At 38.2% G+C, this 23,747-nt stretch overlaps 1 protein-coding gene across 14 annotated transcripts in view; it reads left to right on the forward strand.

The window, feature by feature from the left end:
* ADGRV1 (adhesion G protein-coupled receptor V1) overlaps positions 1–23,747 on the forward strand; it is a 605,641-nt gene that overhangs the window by 215,997 nt on the left and 365,897 nt on the right. For all 14 annotated transcript variants that reach the window (NR_003149.2, XM_017009963.3, XM_017009969.3 and 11 more), the window contains 10 exons: positions 1,660–1,783; positions 3,112–3,250; positions 3,634–3,816; positions 4,072–4,304; positions 6,637–6,785; positions 8,331–8,532; positions 9,045–9,264; positions 13,278–13,517; positions 14,909–15,058; positions 16,080–16,553. Coding sequence is in view for 13 of the 14 variants with exons in the window: in XM_017009963.3 (XP_016865452.1) it covers positions 1,660–1,783; positions 3,112–3,250; positions 3,634–3,816; positions 4,072–4,304; positions 6,637–6,785; positions 8,331–8,532; positions 9,045–9,264; positions 13,278–13,517; positions 14,909–15,058; positions 16,080–16,553 (2,114 nt within the window). In the remaining variant the exon portion in view is untranslated. The remainder of the gene's footprint in view (positions 1–1,659; positions 1,784–3,111; positions 3,251–3,633; positions 3,817–4,071; positions 4,305–6,636; positions 6,786–8,330; positions 8,533–9,044; positions 9,265–13,277; positions 13,518–14,908; positions 15,059–16,079; positions 16,554–23,747) is intronic.

A 23,747-nucleotide genomic window follows, 5' to 3' on the forward strand; every position in this document is an offset into this window, starting at 1 on the left:
CATGAGGTTGGAATTATTTATTTGAAATGTTAATAGTGGTTTTTGATTACCTATATTTTCTAAACATATTTACAATTATCACACTTTACCTTTGTAATAAAACATTATTTTTAAATGTGTCATATTATGTTTAGCATTATAGCCTATGTACGTCTGTTTTCATCTGAAAGTAGTTACTCAAATATTTTGACACTTCAGAAACAGGCATTTTAATTCTCATTTGCCTCCAGTTGATATGATGATTTGTTTTTTGGATCCATAGAGAAAAGAGTAATGATTCTAAAATGGTTTTATTGTGCTATAAACAATAATAACCAACCATAAAAAACTGGTTCAGAAACTTTTAGCATGAAAATTTGGTGATTAATACATTTCTTTTTTGCCATCAAGAACTCCATCCTATGTGACTAAAAGCAGATTTAATGTCCAAGGAAATTTTTAGAATTGTAGAGTATCTATCACTGTGTATACTTAGGGTAGTTATAATTTCTGCATTTTATTTAGGATATTTTCCATTAAGGGAATGACATCACTGCACCATATTCTTTTATAAGTCTTTAGTTAGCTTTAGTTAACTCTTTCATAAGTCTTTAGTTATCTACATCATGTTAAAATGACAGATGTCACATAGGCTAATTAAACATAGAAGAATATATGATTGGATCAGGATAAATCATTTACCATATCAAAAAAATTTTTTTGAGGCAGGGTCTTGCTCTGTCACCCAGGCTGCAGTGCAGTGGTGTGATCACAGATTCCTGCAGCCTTGAATTCCCAGGCTCAAACAAACCTCCCACCTCAGCCTCCTGAGTAGCTAGGACTACAGGCATGTGGCACTATGCCCAGTTAATTTATTTTTATGTTTGCAGGGATGGAGTCTCCCTATGTTGCCCAGGCTGGTCTTGAACTCCTGAGCTCATGGGATCCTCCCACCTCAGCCTCCCAAAGTGTTGGGATTACAGGTATGATCCACTGCACCTAATTCTTAATATCTTTCTGTCTGACTGTGACACTTGCTGTGACAAGCCACTCTTGATTCCATTAATCCATTGCCAAAGAAAGTGAGAGTATAGTGATACAGCTCTTTGTGTCATGAACCCCTAATATGTGTTTCTGGAAACAATTTTCTTTAAGTTTCTGCTAAGTTATATGGATACTCAAATACTTGATATAGTTTTCTATTTCCATCTTAATAGAAATATTTGACACAGGTTTATAAATGCTTACAGTCAAATGATAGAGTCAGAAAATTAAAAATGAAAAAGTGCCCCCAAGAAATCTTGCTTTTGCCATATAGCCAGTTGACATAGCTATGTAGTCAATTGCAGTGAGCTGCAAAATGGTTACTGTAGAAACAAATTAATGCCAATGGTAGAGGAGCCCTTGCTTTTCATGAGCATGATAGGGCAATTACTGCCAATTTTTTTTTCTGCCCCTTTCATTAAAATGTAATCTTGGGCAAGCGATTTGCCTCCATGTCTTCAAGACCTCAATGTGCTTCAGAGTCATAGGTAAAATGAGGATATTAATACCTTACTGATATGAGAGTCATGAGAATGAACTAGATTCCTGTGTGTAAAGTGCTTAGAAAGTTTCCAGGCATATACTAAGTGCTTATGTGCACCTGCTACAAAGTGGTCTATATCATCTTGAATTTAGGTAGTGCATCAATAATTATTCGGGGTGATAAGCGAGCATCAGGAGAAGTTGGGATAGCTCCGTCATCTAGGCACATCCTCATTGGGGAACCCTCAGCAAAATATAATGGTACCGCTATTATCAGGTAAGGACTTCATGATTTTTCTTTGCCTATATGGGGGTTACGAAGTTTTATTTAAATCATTAGTCTTAAGTTTATCATTCTCAATACATACATAGTCTTCAAGCATTAACATTCTATATACTGTTAACATCCTGTGGAGAGGAGAACAAATTTGGGGCAGAAATTGGAATAATATCCTGACCTATCTTGATATTAGATCATGAGAAGGTTTCTGACTCTTGAGTGATTTGCACAAATTACACCAAGGAAAGCACATGGAGTTGAGATCAGAAAATCTATGTTTTCACCTCTGTTCTGTTACTAAACATGTGATATAAGGGAGTTATTTCATCTCTGCAAGCTTGTGTGTCTTAGCTACAAAATCATTCCTTAGAACATCATCAGGGCCAAACATTTTGCTTTCAAGTGTTCTAAAATCAGAGTCTGTATTAGTCTGTTCTCACACTGCTATAAAGAACTGCTTGAGACTGAATAATTTATGAAGAAAAGAGGTTTAATTGGTTCAAGGTTCTGCAGGCTGTACAGGAAGCATGGCTGGGGAGGCCTCAGGAAACTTACAATTATGGCAGAAGGCGAAAGGAGAGCTGACGTGTCCTACCTGGCTGGAGCAGGTGGAAGGGGTGGAGGGGTGCTATGTACTTTTCAACAACCAGATCTTGTGAGAACTCTATCAGGAAAACAGCAAGGGGGAAGTCCATCCCCATGATTCAGTCACCTCCCACCAGGCCCCACCTCCAACACTTGAGGTCACACTTCAACATGAGATTTATGTGGGGACACAGAGCCAAACCATATCAGGGCCTATCATATAACTAAATTAGTATGATCATAGGCAAGTTTGTTTCTGGTAAATTTTCTTATGGGGGATGGGAAGCAACTATCAATGGCATAGCTGGGTTTGACTTTATACTTTATCCTCATGGTAGTTATCCAGAAGTAAGACTATCCCTTCCCATCAGCATGCCCTTATATGAAGGGTCTTCCAGTCTTTAGAGAACTTAGACTTTTCATATTTTGTACCTTGCGTGTTAAGTGAAAAGCCTATAAATATTAATACTTCTTTTTATTTCTTTAAACCTTCTGCTTTTAGTAATCAGTTTTTGCTTGTATTCCTGTCAAGATAGATTTACACTAGCTTAATACTTTGGGTGTTACTATCTTGGAACTTTAAGACTTCCTTTGGTTTATAGTTTGGTAAATGAGGTTATTTAAAAGAAAACTGTTATTGAAATGGATGAAAATTGATTACTGTTAAAAGACAGAGAAAATGTTTAAGAAAAGTACCTTCAACTGAAATGTATTGGATATACATTTGTTTATTGTTGTAGCCTTGTTCGAGGCCCAGGGATTTTGGGGGAGGTCACAGTGTTCTGGAGGATATTCCCTCCTTCCGTGGGGGAATTTGCTGAAACATCAGGAAAACTGACAATGCGAGACGAACAGTCTGCAGTCATTGTAGTAATACAGGTATCAATATTAGCTGGTTTCTTTTATGCCCTTTACTCTCTGTGCTGGTGTGTGCACATGTGTGAGCATATGTGTATGTGTGGGTGTGTTTGTGTGTGTGTGGTTAGAAGTGGGGGATGGGGAGGAGGTAAATATTACAGCATTTGTGGTTGGCGTGCACGTGTGTGTGTGTGTGTGGTGTGTGTGTGTACGGTTGACAATGGAGATTGGGGAGAAGGTTAATGTAACAGCATTTGGTATTGTGGAGGTGCCTGTGTATGGGATTAAGAGTGGGAATGAGGAGGAGATTAATATTACAAAATCTGTTGTTATTATTTAGAGGTTAGGAGTTTTTCTTGAAATTCCACAGATTCTACTGTTGATGACTCTTTGTCTTTTTCTAGGCTTTGAACGATGACATTCCCGAGGAAAAAAGCTTCTATGAGTTTCAGCTCACTGCAGTCAGTGAGGGAGGAGTTCTGAGTGAATCCAGCAGCACTGCCAACATCACGGTGGTGGCCAGCGACTCTCCCTATGGCCGATTTGCCTTTTCACATGAGCAACTTCGAGTGTCAGAAGCACAGAGGGTATAGTATGAAATGCTTAAGATTTTAATATCATTTTTATTTTTAGATATGAAAATGTTTTCTTGTTTCTATTCCAGAGTTTTCATAAACTGATTAATTTGCTCCAAACATCATTATTTTAACATATAATCTATATAATTTTATAACCTTATATGTAATTTTAACACAATCCTGGTAAATAGAACGTTTAGTTACAGACAGTATTGTCTGGTAGATTAAACATCCAAATCAAATAAGAAAATGCATTTTGCATAGGTTAACATCACAATCATCCGTTCCAGTGGAGATTTTGGCCATGTGCGACTCTGGTACAAGACGATGAGCGGGACAGCGGAAGCAGGCTTGGATTTTGTTCCTGCAGCAGGGGAGCTCCTCTTTGAAGCAGGGGAGATGAGGAAAAGTCTGCATGTTGAAATCCTTGATGATGACTATCCTGAAGGCCCAGAGGAATTTTCTCTAACAATTACAAAGGTGGAACTCCAGGGAAGGTAAAGGAGAAAGGCAATTAGGAAAAAGAAAGCAAAGAGCAGAGAGAAAGAGAGAAAGTTCTATTGTGTAGAGATTAATACTGAGCTCTAAAGCAGTTCTTTCCCTACTCTTTCTCAGATTTGTGTGACATTAGAACAGGACATACAAGGGAAATTATGACAATGACTGAGTTTTTTTTTTTAATTTTGTTAAATATAACTTCCCTCTGAAAATTGAAAGTATGTGTTTCTATTGTGTGGACTCACTCTGGGTAGCCAGGAAGTTGAATATGATAACGGCTTCTAATTGGTGAAGACACAGCCTAACAGCTCTCTAAATCAGAGGTCAGCTGGTGTGGCTGAATTTGCTTCTTTTGATTTCCATACTTGTGAAAGGGCTGAAGGGAGGGATTTCTTTCATTGGTGCATCTGAAGTCTGTATCGTCTTCTCTGTGGGTGAATGACATAGATGCTTGCCCCATAGTTTTAAAGTGGGGAAAAATTTGAGTGAAAGCTAGTTGGCCATTAATGTGCACCATGTTTTCAAGGAAGATAATGAATTAACCTTAATGAGTCTCTTTCATTCCCTGATTTAGTGAGGCAGATTTGATGAGGTGGAAAAACATCTTTAGCATGTTTAAGTACTCACAGGTTCTGCAGCTCACAGGTTGAGAGAGACCTACCAGCATCTCTGCCCAGATAGCAGATAGGTGGGCCCTTCAACTAGAGTAATGCCTGCATTTAGAAGAATCATAAAGACATTTTTCTTGTGCATGAAAATATTTTTGCCTTTGTAATGTGAATATCATGCTTTAAAAACTTTTTAAACTAAAATATGTTACTCAGTGACTTAAGTGTATATCATCCCATCTGGGAAAAAAATATTGTGGGCTCACATACCCTTCAAATTTTAGATTTCCCAAAAATGCTTCTATGCCTGGCAATGAGAGTGAATTTGTACTCCTAGTAAATATAGTAAAAAGTTTGAGCTGATCACTGACTATTTTAATTAAATAAATGCAATTTGGTAAAAGTAGTCGTTTAGTGTGAGATCATATTTGTGTTACTGACCAGCTAGAGCTTGAGGATTTTGTCTTCTTTGCTACTGTTTTTTTAAAAAGCAGTTTCTATGTAAGTTTAATTCTGGGGAAACAAGTTTTTCCTTCCAGATAAATTTCTAGGTTTTCTTTGATCTCAAAAGGTAAGTAGTACAATTAGCTAATCTACAGCCCATCTCAGACTACTGGTAACAGTTACTCTTATCATTTAATATTCTAAATCTCAATTTTCTAATTTTGCCTTTTATATAATTCGCCAACTTTCAACCTTTCAACTCTAGGTAGGGTATAAATACCAGAATAGAATTTGGGAATTGAAGGAAGGACTAAAATGGTTTATCGGCATTTTTTAGCATGAGGAATTAAAGTCATATTTTAAAGCCTTGGAAGTTGAAGCTTTGTTTGATGGGAATAATATTAATCTAAAAAAAGACTTCTTTTGCAGAAGTATCATTACAGAAGTAAACTACCATCTATATTAAGGATAGAGGAATTGATTATGATTGGTTTCTGTAGAAATTGAAATACTTTTCTTTCTTTTTTATTTTTCTTTCTTTCTTTTTCTTTCTTTCCCTTTTTCTTTCTTTCCAAAGTCTTGCTGTGTCACCCAGGACAGAGTGCAGTGGCACAATCATAGCTCACTGCAACTTTGAATGCCTGGACTAAAGGGATCCTCTCACCTCATACTTCTAAATAGCTATGACTGCAGGCATGTGCCATCATGTCTGGCTAATTTTTTAAAATTAGTTTTTAGTAGAGACAAGGTCTCACTCACTATGTTGCCCAGGTTGGTATTGAGAGATATTTCTTTTGAATCTTGATGATTTAGTTTGAAATTTAATTAGTGTCATGACACTCACTATTTCTTTGAATAAATCATCTTAACCTAACACTGTAAATCTCAAGGCCGCCTGCTTACTTACCTATCTCTGAGTGCACTAGGTCTATTACTGTATATGTATGTATTCAGCCGTGATTCCCAAAGGTTCATTTTATGACAGCATCTTTCTGATTTCCTCACAGTTTATTATCTTCCCATTGCCCAAGTTTAGTAACTTTATATTAGTTTTGGCTTCGTACAGGCACCACTCATTGGGAGCAACACAGAAATCTGTTTCAAAACATCATTTCAGGAAAAAGAGAATATTTTAGCGTTGAGGATCTTTAAAAGTATTGCAGTACTTTATAGAACTAAGTTGTAGGAGCTAAGAGGATCTTTTAATTCATGCTATGCAATTATGTATTTTTTGTTGTTGTTGTATTTTATTTTATTTTGATTTGTATGACTTTGGAAGAGGGTATGATTTTACCATTCAAGAAAATGGACTTCAGATAGATCAACCTCCTGAAATAGGAAACATCTCCATTGTTCGCATCATAATAATGAAAAATGATAACGCAGAAGGCATCATTGAATTTGACCCAAAGTATACTGCCTTCGAAGGTAGGTTCAGTCAGCTAGCTTGTAAGTAAGTTTACTACCACTTTCCAAATTACATTAGTTTGAATTTCCGTGTGTAAATTGTTTTAGTTTGGTGTGGGTGTGTGTGTTTGTGTTTACACATATACACTTTTATATTTATTTACTTATTTGAAATACATTTTCAGTTATCTTTGGGTAGTCTTGAACCTTACTGTGAATGGCAATGTTAGGAACAAGCCTGTCTAGAAAAACTATGTTTAACATTAGGATTATTAAAATGTTTCTGTTTCAAACATTTTAATGAAAGCCTTTGTAATTTGTGCATATTTAATTTCCTATGTGACTAGAAATCAGTGAATATTCACTTCCTAATGAATAATCATCTTTGAAATGAATATTTTACTGGCCTAGAGATGCAGGTAGTATCTGGATCCTTGATCTTGCTTTCTCGAAACAGTCCCCAGTAGCAGCTTGCCTAATATTGCCAATTCTTTCCTCTTGTAGAAGCAGAATACAGAATATATGGTTATATTCCTTCCCAGGTAGGAAGAGATGGCTGCCTTTCTAGGAAATGATTTTATTCAAAGGCAGAATATGAATATGACTTTAAAAATAAATATCTTACTGCTGCATTTAACCTGATTGGCTTCATTGCCTCTATCAAAATTCTTTGGTTATCTAGCCATTTTTAAAGTTCATAAAAAATTGCTTTAGGAGTTGGTTTATAATGAGTTTATGGGTAAGTTGTGGAATACATCACTATTTTGTGAACTTCAATCTGTACCTGGAAAAAATCATATTACATTTTTGCATTAAGAAATAAATGAGACTTGGAATTTTTTCAGTTCATTGTTTTCTGTTAGATTCATTATCTTTGGGAATTTTGGTCAGTGTATATTTATATTTATAATATACATTGAGTATTATTTAGCCATAGCTAATGTGAGCCCTATTAAATTATATTTTAATATGCAGAATTTAGCATAGCTTAAGAAATATATTTTTGAAAATAATGTTTAAGTTGAAATCAAACATTGAAGACACATTTTCAGATTCACAAGTAGATTTCATAGGAACTGAAAATGTAATCAAATTGTACTTGTATCTGGACTTTTAAAAATTCATATGATATACATATCATAAACCTCATTTATTTATATTACCATATTTATATTTCAATTGAATGTGTGGAAGCAATCCAGAGTGGTTTCCTATGAGCACAAACAACTTAAATGTTTTTTTGTATCCATCTAACATTGTCTTAGAAAGCAAGGATCATTTGTTTTTATGTAGTACACAGGGAGAATGCCAATGCTACTGATTAAATACATTGTTTAAATGCTAATTGTACTGTTCTCTGTAACTTTCAACATCTGATAAACTATGTTCCTCCTAAAAAATGTCATGAGGTTTTCACTAATCCCCCTTTAAAATGATAAAAGAACTATGAAAACATAGAGTGCTTACTTTGTGCCATTATGTTTAATTGCCAGGTTTAATTTGGCTGAATCTTATAAGTTAGTTGCTCTGTCTGGCTTACCAATTAATTCCAAGTTCCCATTACAGTGGAGGAAGATGTTGGGCTGATCATGATCCCAGTGGTGAGGCTACATGGAACTTATGGCTATGTGACAGCTGATTTCATCTCTCAGAGCTCCTCTGCCAGTCCCGGAGGTGTTGATTACATTTTGCATGGCAGTACAGTCACCTTTCAGCATGGGCAAAACTTAAGTTTTATAAATATCTCCATCATTGATGACAATGAAAGGTTGGTATATAGAAAATAATGTGGGCACATATAAGACATAAGTATTGTGTTCAAACTCTTACATATGTTTTGCACTGACAATAGAACTTTAGATAATATGTGTCCATTGGAAAACAACAGGTGAAATACTTTTGGGGTACTAGGGGTAGGGAAAGAGGGGCTAGGAGACGATGTGGTTGCATATGTCACTTCATTTCAAATAAAGGAAATAATATTTTCTGTTTCTCTAGACTTAAATAATCTAATCAGAATGTGGAAACATTCTTTAATTCACTTTCTTTATGCATTAAGCAATTAAAAAGAGGGCAAGAAAGTCCCTACAACTGCCCTAGGTCATGTAATATTGATGTTAATCATTCATTCTTTTAGCTAAGCACCCACTTCTTACCACTTGATGTGTGACTACTGTGCCTTGAATATGTATGACCAATTTGGAAAATGACTGGTTATTGGGATTTTACAAGCACTTTAATATGTTTAGACTCACAGAATTGCTCCTTCTTGCCATGCAGTGAATTTGAGGAGCCCATTGAAATTCTACTCACTGGAGCTACTGGAGGAGCGGTCCTTGGGCGCCACCTAGTGAGCAGAATCATAATAGCTAAGAGTGACTCTCCCTTTGGAGTTATAAGGTTTCTCAATCAAAGCAAAATTTCTATTGCTAATCCCAATTCCACAATGATTTTATCACTGGTGCTGGAGCGGACTGGAGGACTCTTGGGAGAGATTCAGGTAGATTTATGTTCCCCATGACTTTAAATATAATTTTTGATAGACTGAGTATGGTAGTGTGTTTTCTCATTGCCCAAGTATATTTCTTTATTCACAGCCAATCAATATTTATTAATTATCTTGTATGTGTACAGCAGCTTTTGAGCCAGATTAAGTACATAAAAATGTATAAGGCATACATCTGTCCTCAGGGAACCTTGAGGGCTTGTTAGAAATGAAGTGAATGATTCTGATAAAATTCATTAATTCAACAAGTATTTGTTGAGTGCTTTCTGTGTGTCACACACTGTTCTAGGTACTGAGAATATACTGAGGAACTAGATAGACCTCATCTCCGTTCTTACAGAGTTTTCATTTTATTAAGCAGAGCTGAGCAATAAACAACTAAAAATAAATTGATCTGATAACAGTAAGGGCTCTGCTTGTAAAATTGGGAGACACAATTGCGAGTGCTGTTGGTGAGGATGTGATATTTCAGCTGAAAGATGCATTAGGAGAAAGAGGTTAGAAGGGTGAGCATTTGGGCAGAAGGAACAATAGCTTCTGCAGAGGCATAAGCTGGCATGTTTCAGGCATGGAGGGGTTCATGTGGTCGGGGCCTGGAGTTAAGGGGATAACAGCACAGGATAGACCAGAGGGCCCAATAGATGTTCGATCACATGGAACCTCCTAAGCCAGGTTAAAGATGTCCATTGCTCAATGAAATAAAAGAGGACACAAACAAATGGAAGAACATTCCATGCTCATGGATAGGAAGAATCAATATAGTGAAAATGGCCATACTGCCTAAGGTAATTTATAAATTAAATGCCATCCCCATCAAGCTACCAATGACTTTCTTCAAGGAATTGGAAAAAACTACTTTAAACTTCATATGGAACCAAAAAAGAGCCCACATTGTCAAGACAATCCTAAGCAAAAATAACAAAGCTGGAGGCATCATGCTACCTGACTTCAAACTGTACTACAAGGCTACAGTAACCAAAACAGCGTGGTACTGGTACCAAAACAGATATATAGACCAATGGAACAGAACAGAGGCCTCAAAAATAACACCACACATCTACAACAAACCTGACAAAAACAAGCAATGGGGAAAGGATTCCCTATTTAATAAATGGTGTTGGGAAAACTGGCTAGCCATATGTAGAAAGCCGAAACTGGATCCCTTCCTTACACCTTAGACAAAAATTAATTCAAGATGGATTAAAGACTTAAATGTTAGACCTAAAACCATAAAAACCCTAGGAGAAAACCTAGGCAATACCATTCAGGACATAGGCGTGGGCAAGGACTTCATGTCTAAAACACCAAAAGCAATGGCAACAAAAGCCAAAATTGACAAATGGGATCTAATTAAACTAAAGAGCTTCTGCAAGGCAAAACAGACTACCATCAGAGTGAACAGGCAACCTACAGAATGGGAGAAAATTTTTGCAATCTATCCATCTGACAAAGGGCTAATATCCAGAATCTACAAAGAACTCAAACAAATTTACAAGAGAAAAACAACCCCATCAAAAAGTGGTCAAAGGATATGAGCAGACATTTCTCAAAAGAAGACATTTATGCAGCCAACAGACACCTGAAAAAATGCCGTCATCCCTGGTCATCAGAGAAATGCAAATCAAAACCACAATGAGATACCATCTCACTCCAGTTAGAATGGCGATCATTAAAAAGTCAGGAAACAACAGATGCTGGAGAGGATGTGGAGAAATAGGAACGCTTTTACACTGCTGGTAGGAGTGTAAATGAGTTCAACCATTATGGAAGACAGTGTGGCGATTCCTCAAGGATCTAGAACTAGAAATACCATTTGACCCAGCCATCCCATTACTGGGTATATACCCAAAGGATTATAAATCATGCTGCTATAAAGACACATGCACACGTATTTTTATTGCGGCACTGTTGACAGTAGCAAAAACTTGGAACCAACCCAAATGTCCATCAATGATAGACTGGATTAGGAAAATGTGGCACATATACACCATGGAATACTATGCAGCCATAAAAAGGATGAGTTCATGTCCTTTGCAGGGACATGGATGAAGCTGGAAACCATCATTCTCAGCAAACTAACACAAGGATGGAAAACCAAGCACTGCATTTTCTCACTTATAGGTGGGAATTGAACAATGAAAACACTTGGACACAGGGCAGGGAACATCATACACTGGGGCCTATTGGGGGGTGGGGGGCTAGGGGAGAGATAACATTAGGAGAAATACCTAATGTAAATGACGAGTTGATGGGTGCAGCAAACCAACATAGTACATGTATACCTATGTGTCAAACCTGCACGTTGTGCACATGTACCCTTGAACTTAAAGTATAATAATAAATAAAAGATTTCATTCTAAGTGCAAATAGGATGCCATTAGAAAATCGTAAGCCAGAGAACAATGTCACCAGATTGTCTTTTAAAGCAGCTCATTTAAGTCTAGTGCAAGGAAAATGGATTCAAGAAGCTGGTGGGGCAGCATAGGAGCAGGAAGGATGGCTAGGAGGCTGTTTATTTCCCTCTACTCTCCATGTCAAAGCTGATGGTGGCTCAGACAAGGTGGTGGAAATAAAGATGGCGAGAAGTGGGTATACATTGATATTTGGAAGAAAAATTCATTGGGCTAGAAGTAGAGGCTGAGGGAAAGACAGGAATCAAGGATAACTCCTTGAATTTAAGTTTGAGCAGCTGGATAATTTGTAGGGTTGTTTACTAAGATGCAGAAGCTCAAGGAGAAATTAAGAGTTCTGTTTTGGGCGTGTTCTTCTGAGATACTACTGACATCCCAGGGGAGGGTGGTCACATAGGCAGGGCAGCATGCGACTGTGTGTTGTGGGGTGGTCAGGGCTGCAGATGCAGGTCTGGAAGATGTTGACACATGGGGAGGTGTTTGAACACGTGGGGCCTAAGGGGCATATCTGGAAACAGGAAGGATATGGTGCTGAGTCCTGAGCTTCCACCATTTAGAGATCAGAGGAAGGAGAACCAGCAGAGAAGCTTGAGAAGTAAAGGAGGAGGAAAACTAGGAAAGCAGGTGGCACATGAGTATCACATAAGCCAAGACGACAGGACATGGTGTTTCAAGAAGGAAATAGTCAGCTGGAGGGCTGCTGATGAAAGATTAAGAAGCAAAAACAAGTGCCCAATGTTCTTTCTTTGTAGATTGTGTGAGAGGCATACCATTTCAAATCATAGAAATGTAGAAAACTTTGTTTCTTATAACAATGTATGAAGATTTCCGTGTCTTTTACACTAGGAATATAAGTAGATTTAGCATTTTTGCATGGTCTACAGCAGAGTTTTTCCATGGTTTTGTTGTCTTATTTATATAGGTTTTGATTGGCACAGCCTGTGCACACAGCAGGACAGTATTGTACTTATATATTTTTAAAATGTTTATATTTCTCTAATACGTATTTTAATATAGATTTTTATATGTTTTTATCCTATGTGATGACAAATTATTCATGAATACTATAGGTATGTAGTTTATAGTTGCAAATATCTTTTTGTCTTTCTTTCTTTCTTTTTTTTTTTTTTTTTTGAGATGGAGTTTCGCTCTTTGTTGCCTAGGCTGGAGTGCAGTGGCGTGATCTTGGCTCACTGCAACCTCCGCCTCCCAGGTTCAAGCAATTCTCCTGTTTCAGCTCCGAGTAGCTGGAATTACAGGCGCCTGCCACCACGCCCGGCTAATTTTTGTAATTTTAGTAGAGACGGGGTTTCACCATGTTGGCCAGGTTGGTCTCAAACTCCTGATCTCAGGTGATCTGCCCGCCTCGGCCTCCCAAAGTGTTGGGATCACAGGCGTGAGCCACCACACCCAGCTGCAAATATCATTATTTTTAACAAAAAAAAACAAGTTTATGAAACAGGAATTTGATGGAATTATCCTAGAATAATTTTCCTATATGTGTATATATTTTCTTAATACTAGATACCCTGAAATAGTTTTTTGCTTAAAATTGATCTCTATTAAAGAAATACCAAAACCAAAAACATCCCGCAGGTGAACTGGGAGACAGTAGGACCCAACTCTCAAGAAGCCTTACTGCCACAGAATAGAGACATTGCAGACCCAGTGAGCGGGTTGTTCTATTTTGGAGAAGGAGAAGGAGGAGTGAGAACCATAATTCTGACAATCTATCCTCATGAAGAAATTGAAGTTGAAGAGACATTCATTATTAAACTTCATCTTGTGAAAGGAGAAGCTAAATTAGACTCCAGAGCTAAAGATGTTACATTAACCGTATGTATGGCTTTATTTTTCTCACAAAATGTGGATTTCATGGATTTATCAGAAAATACATTTACATTTGTTGAAACTCTATAAGCTTGTGATAAATTGGAAATTATAAAACCAAATAATATCATAATAATTCTGAAGGGTCAAACTTTTTGGTTTTCATGTCAGCTCATTGCATAGCCTGATTATTGGTAATATTTTTTTTAAAAACATTTTAGTATATGATACTTATTTTATAAGCTTGGAGAAAATTTGGTGTTTTTGGAATATTTGACAGTTTTAGAGCAGAGGTATTTGTTATAGCATACCAAACATTGGATATCTTTGTCTTCAGGGAATGTAAAAATTATTAACTAGTTATATTCCAGATAGTTTGAAGGAAAAAATGGTACTTGTTTAGTTAAGGCAAAAAGTGCTGGGACCAAGACTACTGAAAATAATGCAGAGGGATGACCCATTTTTTTGAAGTTTGTAAAATACTCTTATTTGAGATCTATATCAGTCAGAGTTTTCCTGAGAAACAAAACCAGTAGGACAGACATGCACACAGACACAGACACACACACACACACACACACACACACACTCACACACACAGCAGGGTGGAGGGAGAGAGAGAGATTTGAAGGAACAGACTCACATGATTGTGAGGGCTGGCAAGTCCAAAATCCATGAAATAGGCTGGCAGGAAGGAAACTCAGGAAAGAGTTGAAGTTGCAGTTTTGTGGAGCAGAGCAGTTCAGTAAGCTAAAAACTCAAGCAGGATTCCTAAGTTACAGTCTTGAGGCAGAATTCCTTTTTCTCCAGGAAACCTCAGTTTTTGCTCTTAAGGCCTTCAGTTGTTTAGATGAGGCCCATTCACATTCTTGAGGGTGATCTCCTTTACGTACAGTCAGCTGATTGTAAGTATTCATCATATCTCCAAAATACCTTCACAGTGACATCTAGATGAGCGTTTGACCAAACAACTGGGCACTATAGTCTTGGCAAGCTGATACACAAAATTAGTCCTCACAGGGCCTGTTTGCTTCACTCCATGTATATCATAGCTAGTAGGAAGAATTTAGCTAAAATTAACTGATTAAATGTAGTAAATATGAGATGAATAAAGCGAAATTCAGGCATCAAATTACTATTCTCTTGGGATTCTACAAATGGGAGTTTTCTGGATTCTTATTCCCATCATCTTTGGGGAATAAGAACCTACTTGTTTTAGGTAACAGTCAATGTGATAAAGAAGTTTTCAAAAATTAGGTAGCTAAGTAGAGTATATTCAAGTGTCATTTTTATGTTTCTTTCATTTCCTCAGCTTCTCTGTTTGTTAATATGTTGGATACTATAATTTCATCCCTATTGTTTTATAAATTATTTTCTCTGTTGTTTATATTTTTTAGATACAAGAGTTTGGTGACCCAAATGGAGTTGTTCAGTTTGCTCCTGAAACTTTGTCTAAGAAGACTTATTCAGAGCCTCTGGCTCTGGAAGGGCCCCTGCTCATTACCTTCTTTGTCAGAAGAGTCAAGGGCACCTTTGGAGAGATTATGGTATTACTTTTCATTTGATTTTTCAAAGTACCAGTTTGCCTAACAAATGTGGTTAAGAGGGACAGGGAAACTGCATGTTCTAGTTAATTAAAGTTTTTGATAAACTAAAGTTACGTGAGTTTTCAGAGAAACAGAGGCTTTATTTAAACATCTTTGGGCTCTCTCATCAGCATCAACCTCTAGCTATCTCTCTAAATTAAAATTGGTTACAGTTAGTTCAGAAAGATTTTCCTCACACTTAATCATAAAGAACCAAATGATTTTACATTTTATTGTTTGCTATAATGTGAAGGCTTTCCTACTTAAGCCTCTCAATGATTTGTGTAAATTCTCCAGGGCCTTATTTCTCATTAGAATTTTTCCATTTAGCAACTGTTTTTTAAGAGGTTGTCTTTGCATGTATATTTAGATAGAATGTTTGGGGATGCCCTTGTAAGTTTTCATGATATTTGATTAACAGATCAAGGTAATTTGTTTGCAGGAAAAACATATTTTGTGAAATTTCTCTATACACTGACCTCTCTTTCTGTATTGGATATTAACTGGTGCTTCTTCAGTTGACACTTCATAGTTTTGAGGCCAGCAATTCTTGGAAAATAATGATTGATTTTTTATATCTCATAGATAGTCCTTTTTTATTAAAAACAAACAAAAATTCTGATTTGAATTGTCAAATTATCTACTTTTTACCTTGAAATACTGTGTGTGGTGTACTACTAAAGTTATTTGTGGAACTGGAATTTTTAAGGTAGCTTGCTTCTCTGTGTCCCTTCAAATTGTGCTGTTATTTTAGAAGCAGGTAAAATAATGAGATTTTGTAATCTTATCCTGCAAATAGCATTCAACAGCCTGAGTCAATATACCTTCCAAGCTAACATATACTTAGAGAGTTTGGCTTTGAATATAGTGATGCACAATTATATTTTTTTTTTGTATATTATAGAGAAAAACATAATTTAAGGGAATTTGGTGCAATATACTGAATTATATAACTTTGTTGAGTTTTTTTCTTTTATTTTAGGTTTACTGGGAATTAAGTAGTGAGTTTGACATTACTGAAGACTTTCTTTCCACCAGTGGATTTTTCACCATTGCTGATGGAGAGAGTGAAGCTAGCTTTGATGTTCATTTGCTACCAGATGAGGTACCTGAGATAGAGGAAGATTATGTGATCCAGCTTGTTTCTGTAGAGGGAGGAGCCGAACTGGATCTGGAGAAGAGTATCACATGGTTCTCTGTTTATGCAAATGATGACCCACATGGAGTATTTGCCCTGTATTCGGATCGCCAGTCAATACTTATTGGGCAGAACCTTATTAGATCCATCCAAATTAACATAACCCGGCTTGCTGGAACATTTGGAGATGTGGCTGTTGGGCTTCGAATATCATCGGATCATAAAGAACAGCCGATTGTTACCGAAAATGCAGAGAGGCAGCTGGTGGTCAAAGATGGTGCCACATATAAAGTGGACGTGGTGCCAATAAAGAATCAGGTTTGTGGCATTTCTTCAGTTTCCTGATCATTCCAATAAAACCCTTTCAGGAGTGCCCATGCTTACCTCATAATCAGTTTGAAATCTTATTCAGGTATTTAAATGGAACCACAAAAAAATGCCCTCGAAAATGTTTAGTAACTACTGGATAATACATTTGCAGATTATAATAAGTATATTACTATTTGGATGGAGATAATAGATTTTTGTGTAGAAAGTAACAGACACTTATTTAATACTTACAAAGTTCTAGGAAATGTTTCCAGTGGTGTGCATATACACCTGCACACCCATGGACATGTGTATGCACACGCACACACACTGATACTTGTCAAAGGGGAGAAATTTATAGGCTTCTTTGTGCTTCTAGCAAAGAGTAGTGCAATGAAATAGATTACATGAAGAGGATTTGTGAATACAGAGACTGGTAACTGCTTCTCTTTTTGAAAAGTTGAAATGTAGGAAATTGGCTATGATATTCTCTAATGGTAATGAGGAGAAATCATAGCAGGCTGCTCTGCCAAGATCTGGGGTGGGTGATCAGAATGCATGGATGTCCTGTGGCTCAAGCAGACAGCCCAGCAGTCTTTCTCAGTCTGAACCACAGAAAGTGATTGAGTGACTTTTTTTTTAATTCCTCCCAAGGATGGTACATGTCATATCATCCTCTGTGCATGCATTATGGCATTCATTGCCACTGGATGCATTATGGCATTGGGATTAATTATCTCATGGGCAAGAAAGGCTGTCCAAGAAGTAGACAGATTGGTGTCATCTTGAGAAAAACTTGCAGGGTGAATTATGTAGCTAGAGAGAATGAAAAAGGAGAATATATTCTCTCTGTCGAGGAATGGTGAAGAGGGGAATTCTGAAGCCTTTGGGAACACCCAAATCAACTCCATGAAGGCTTGAGCATTTGGGTGCTGCTTTCATGGAGGTGTGTTATTCAGCCAGTGTCAGCTTAGTTTCATATAAACTTGTGATCCATAGAAAATAGGCTATCATTTCCGGATAAGCAACAAGCCTATTACACTAATCCATACTTACAGTGCTACCTTTTGATGTGTTGTGTACTCGAGCCTTTTGTAGTTGCTTAATAAAGAAAACAAATGGGGTCTTCTTAGTGAGACATGGGTTTCATAGCTATTCCTACATTCCTGTACAATATGTCCTCAGTTAATGTCCACAGGTTCTTGGAAACTGCAGCTTTAAGTGAAATGATGTACAATGTAACCAATTTTACCGTAAGCTAATTGATATAAAAAACAATAGTTAAGTTCCTACAGCATATTTCTGGTCACAAAAACAGCGCCAGACTTATAATAAAGATCAGCTACTTTGAAATTAAACATTGAAATAAATGTGAGCTATACCTGCATTTGAGAAAGAGTAATAAAAACAAAATAATTATTCACCCTATTTTTCCATTTCAAGGTTGTAGGTTGCCAGAGCCTTCCATGGTAGCTCAGGGCTCAAGGCAGGGATCAACCCTGGACAGGACTCCATCCCATCGCAGGGCACAGTCACACTCACACCCACACTCACTCAGACTGGAATCATTGACACATGCTGATTCAGCCTCACGTGCACATCTTTGGAATGTGGGGGAGACTGGAACACTTGGAGAGACCCATGCAGATATGGGGAGAATGTGCAGACTCCACACGGACAGTTGCCCTGGCTGGCAATTGATTTTTTTCTCATCAACATTATATGAAACAGCATTGAGTGAAACTGTGTGATTTGAAGACCTGTTGTAGTTCCTTGGGAAACTGACTCAATGTCATGACCTTACTTTATCAATTTCTAACCTGCATTTCCTGTATCCGACAGCTCTCAAGGCTAAACAGTACAAAAATGGAAAAAGAGAAGTGGATTAAGTTAACCAGAGTATCATTGTATCAAGTCTCACTTACAAATTAGAAAAAGTTTAAAAAATACAATATGCCTAAATTGTGTAACTCGAAACATTTTCCCATGTATTCATAGCATTACATTCTGAACATATTCAATTTATAAGCTGCTAAAGAACACTAGGGGGCAATCCTTTAACTTTTCCAGAAATAGCTGGTATCATTTTATAGTAAGTTTTCATTTGACAATAAGGCAGGCCAAAGAGAAGATTAGATATTGTATTGTTTTACTAAGCAACGTGTATAGTACAAAATTGCTCTCAGGCATAAGAAACCCAAAATATGTGATGTATATTACATGGACTAACACCCTTGATCTGCCTAGTTGTTAGATTGTTTTTCACGGTACCTGGAACATTTTGAAGCATGTGGTAGTGCACTTTTCATTTCATTTGAAAGCTTAGCATTGCATTTCATAAAAATACTTAGCTTTCCTAATATGATAAATGAATTATCATTTATGAATTTCTTAATATTGTCTTTGAACCCATTTTAATTATTTTTATGATTTCTATTTTCATAAAGAGTGACAAAAGTTTACTAGTTTATGCATGCATAAAAACCCTCTTTTTTGGTCACTTTAATATCTCTTTTTAACCTATTTCAAGTTGCACAGCTTCCTTCTCTCTGGCACATTCCAGGATTGTGGTGTAAGACTGCACATAGATTTTTAGGTGTTGGTGAGTTAGTCTTCCAAGGAACTGTTTGGGGAAAGGTGTGACATGCACTTAAACCAAAGACAAGATTTTTTTCAACGGTTTCTTTCTTCCCTCTCACCCGGTATATAACCCATTGCTCTTTGAAGATTGGGATATTAGTTACAAGAGTTTACATCCTGTCCTCCCTCTTCTACCTTCTTGGATAAAAGTTGAGACTTTGGACAGGTAAGCCACAGAGAAGGACCGCAAGGGCCATGATGTATCTAACCCTCTGTGCTGTGGCTTCTAACCTGCAAGTGGGTCTTTTAACAGGGTAGGTTTCCATTAGGCTCTAAGAACAAAAGAGTCTTGATGTAGGTTTAACACCAGAACCTTCGAGTGTCAACTGTTAGCACCTGGTAAGTTGTTAACACCTGGTTAACAGCTGGCTTTTTTTTATGAGGCACAGACTGACAATAAGAATCATTGACCTGCTAAAGAAACAAGCCTAGGCTTGAAATACTTTTTCAGAATGCAAGAGGAATTTTATATTTGTGGCTGGGTCATTTATTGAGCACTTATTATGTGCCAATCACTGTGAGAAGCTCAGCAGATACGAAGATGACTGAGAAATAATTCCTGGTGCCATGTTGCTCCCTGTCTAGTGTATGAACAGCCAGTTATAAGAGCATGTGGATAAATAGTGTTGGCATGTGCACAGGGTGTTAAGGTACCATAAATCGTTTCTGTTTGTGCCCAATGCCATCAAGAACAATAGGCAGGAATTGCTGGCAAGATGGCCGAATAGGACAGCTCTGGTCTGCAGCTCCCAGTGAGATCGACGCAGAAGGCAGGTGATTTCTGCATTTCCAACTTAGGTACCCGGTTCATCTCACTGGGACTGGTTGGACAGTGGGTGCAGTCCATGGAGGGCAAGCCGAAGCAGGGTAGGGTGACGCCTCACCTGGGAAGCACAAGGGGTTGGGGAATTTTTGCCCCTACCCAAGGGAAGCCATGAGGGACTGAGCCTGAAGAACCATGCATTCTGGCCCAGATACTGTGCTTTCCCCATAGTCATCACAACCTACACAGACAGGAGACTCCCTCTGGTGCCTACACCACCAGGGCCCTGGGTTTCAAGCACAAAACTGGGCAGCTGTTTGGGCAGACACCGATCTAGCTGCAGAAGTTTTTTTTTTTTTTTTTTTTTTTCCCTTACCTCAGTGGTGCCTGGAATGCCAGCGAGACAGAACCGTTCACTCCCCTGGAGAGGGGGCTGAAGCCGGGAAGCCAAGTGGTCTTGCTCAGCAGGTCCCACCCCCAAGGAGCCCAGCAAACTAAGATCTACTGGTTTGAAATTCTCGCTGCCAGCACAGCAGCAGTCTGAGATTGACCTGGGACGCTCCAGCTTGGTTGGGGGAGGAGCGTCCACCATGGCTGAGGCTTGAGTAGGTGGTTTTACCCTCACAGTGTAAACAAAGCCAACAGAAAGTTCGAACTGGGCTGAGCCCACCACAGCGCAGCAAGGCTGCTGGGGTCAGACTGCCAGATTTCTCCTCTCTGGGCAGGGCATCTCTGAAAAAAAGGCAGCAGCCCCAGTCAGGGACTTATAGAGAAAACCCCCATCTCCCTGGCACAGAGCACCTGGGGGAAGGGGCGGCTGAAGGAGCAGCTTCAGCAGACTTAAACTTCCCTGCCTGACGGCTCTGAAGAGAGCAGTGGATCTCCCAGCACAGCGTTCAAGCTCTACTAAGGGTCAGACTGCCTCCTCAAGTGGATCCCTGACCCCCGTGTATCCTGACTGGGAGACACCTCCCAGTACAGGCTGACAGACAACTCATACAGGAGAGCTCTGGCTGGCATCTGGCAGGTGCCCCGCTGGGTCGAAGCTTCCAGAGGAAAGAACAGGCAGCAATCTTTGCTGTTCTGCAGCCTCTGCTGGTGATATCCAGGCAAACAGGGTCTGGAGTGGACCTCCAGCAAACTCCAGCAGACCTGCAGCAGAGGGACCTGACTGTTAGAAGGAAAACTAACAGAAAGGAGCAGCACATCCACTCAGAGACCTCATCCAAAGGTCACCAACATCAAAGACCAAAGGTAGGTAAATCCACAAAGAGGGGGAGAAACCAGAGCAAAAATGCTGAAAATTCCAAAAACCAGAACGCTGCTTCTCCTCCAATGGATCACAACTTCTTGCTAGCAAGGGAACAAAACTGGACAGAGAATGAGTTTGATGATTGACAGAAGTAAGCTTCAGAAGGTGGATAATAATAAACTCCTCCGAGCTAAGGGAGCATATTCTAACCCAATGCAAGGAAGCTAGGAACCTTGAAAAAAGGTTAGATGAATTGCTAACTAGAATAACCAGTTTAGAGAAGAACATAAATGACCTGATGGAGCTGAAAAACACAGCACAAGAACTTCGTGAAGCATACACAAATATCAATAGCTGAATCAGTCAAGCAGAAGAAATGATATGATAGATTGAAGATCAGCTTAATGAAGTAAAGCAAGAAGACGAGATTAGAGAAAAAAAAAATAAAAAGGAATGAACAAAGCCTCCAAGAAATATGGGACTATGTGAAAAGACTACGTTTGATTGGTGTACCTGAAAGTGACAGGGAGAATGGAACCAAGTTGGAAAACATTCTTCAGGATATTATCCAGGAGAGCTTCCCCAACCTAGCAAGACTGGCCAACATTCAAATCCAGGAAATACAGAGTACACCAAAAAGATACCCCTTGAGAAGAGCAACCATAAGACACATAATTGTCAGATTCACCAAGGTTGAGATAAGGAAAAAATGTTAAGGGCAGCCAGAGAGAAAGGTTGGGTTACCCACAAAGGGAAGCCCATCAGACAAACAGCCGATCTCTCAGCACAAACCCTACAAGCCAGAAGAGAGTGGGGGCCAATATTCAACATTCTTAAAGAAAAGAATTTTCAACCCAGAATTTCATATCCAGCCAAACTAAGCTTCATAAGTGAAGGAGAAATAAAATCCTTTACAGACGAGCAAATGCTGAGAGATTTTGTCACCACCAGGCCTGCCTTATAAGAGCTCCTGAAGGAAGCACTAAACATGGAAAGTAAAACCGGTACCAGCCACTGCAAAAACATACCAAATTATAAAGACCATCGACACTATGAAGAAGCTGCACCAACTAATGGGCAAAATAACCAGCTGGCATCATGATGACATGATCAAATTCACACATAACAATATTAACATTAAATGTAAATGGGCTAAATGTCCCAATTAAAAGACACAGACTGCCAAATTGGATAAAGAGTCAAGACCCATCTTCAGGAGACCCATCTCATGTGCAGAGACACACATAGGCTCAATATAAAGGGATGGAGGAATATTTACCAAGCAAATGAAAAGCAAAAAAAAAAAAAAAAAAAAAAAAGCAGGAGTTGCAATCCTAATCTCTGATGAAACAGACTTTAAACCAACAAAGATCAAAAGAGACAAAGAAGGCCAGTACATAATGGTAAAGGGATCAATGCATCAAGAAGAGCTAACTATCTTAAATATATATGCACTCAATACAGGAGCACCCAGATTCAAAAAGCAAGTTCTTAGAGACCTACAAAGAGACTTAGACTCCCACACAATAATAATGAGAGACTTTAACACCCCACTGTCAATATTAGACAGATCAATGAGACAGAAAATTAACAAGGGTATTCAGGACTTGAACTCAGCTCTGGACCAAGTGGACCTAAGAGACATCTACAGGTATCTCCACCCCAAATCAACGGAATATATCTTCTTCTCAGCACCTCGTCGCACTTATTCTAAAATTGACCACATAATTGGAAGTAAAACACACCTCAGCAAATGTGAAAGAATGGAAATAATAACAGTCTTTCAGAGCACAGTGCAATCAAATTAGAACTCAGGATTGGGAAACTCACTCAAAACTGGGTAAATAACAAAATGAAGGCAGAAATAAAGATATTCTTTGAAACCAATGAGAACAAAGACACAATGTACCAGAATCTCTGGGACACAGCTAACACAGTGTTTAGAGGGAAATTTATAGCATTAAATGCCCACAAGAGAAAGCAGGAAAGATCTAAAATCGACACCCTAACATCAAAATTAAAAGAACTAGAGTAGCAAGAGCAAATTCAAAAGCTAGCAGAAGACAAGAAATAGCTAAGATCAGAGCAGAACTGAAGGAGATAGAGATATGAAAAATGCTTCAAAAAATCAATCAATCCAGTAGCTGATTTTTTGAAAAGATCAATAAAATAGATTGACTGCTAGCCAGACTAATGAAGAAGAAAAGAGAGAAGAATCAAATAGACACAATAAAAAATGATATAGGGGATATCACCACTGATCCCACAGAAATACAAACTACCATCAGAGAATACTATAAACACCTCTATGCAAATAAACTAGAAAATCTAGAAGAAATGGATAAATTCATGGACACATACACCCTCCCAAGACTACACCAGGAAGAAGTCGAATCCCTGAATAGACCAAATAACAAGTTCTGGAATTGAGGTAGTAATTAATAGCCTACCAACCAAAAAAAGTCCAGGCCAAGACGGATACACCGCCGAATTCTACCAGAGGTACAAAGAGGAGCTGGTACCCTACCTTCTGAAATGATTCCAAACA

This window comes from Homo sapiens, chromosome 5 (assembly GCF_000001405.40).
Source record: "Homo sapiens chromosome 5, GRCh38.p14 Primary Assembly".
Classification (NCBI taxonomy): Eukaryota; Metazoa; Chordata; class Mammalia; order Primates; family Hominidae; genus Homo; species Homo sapiens.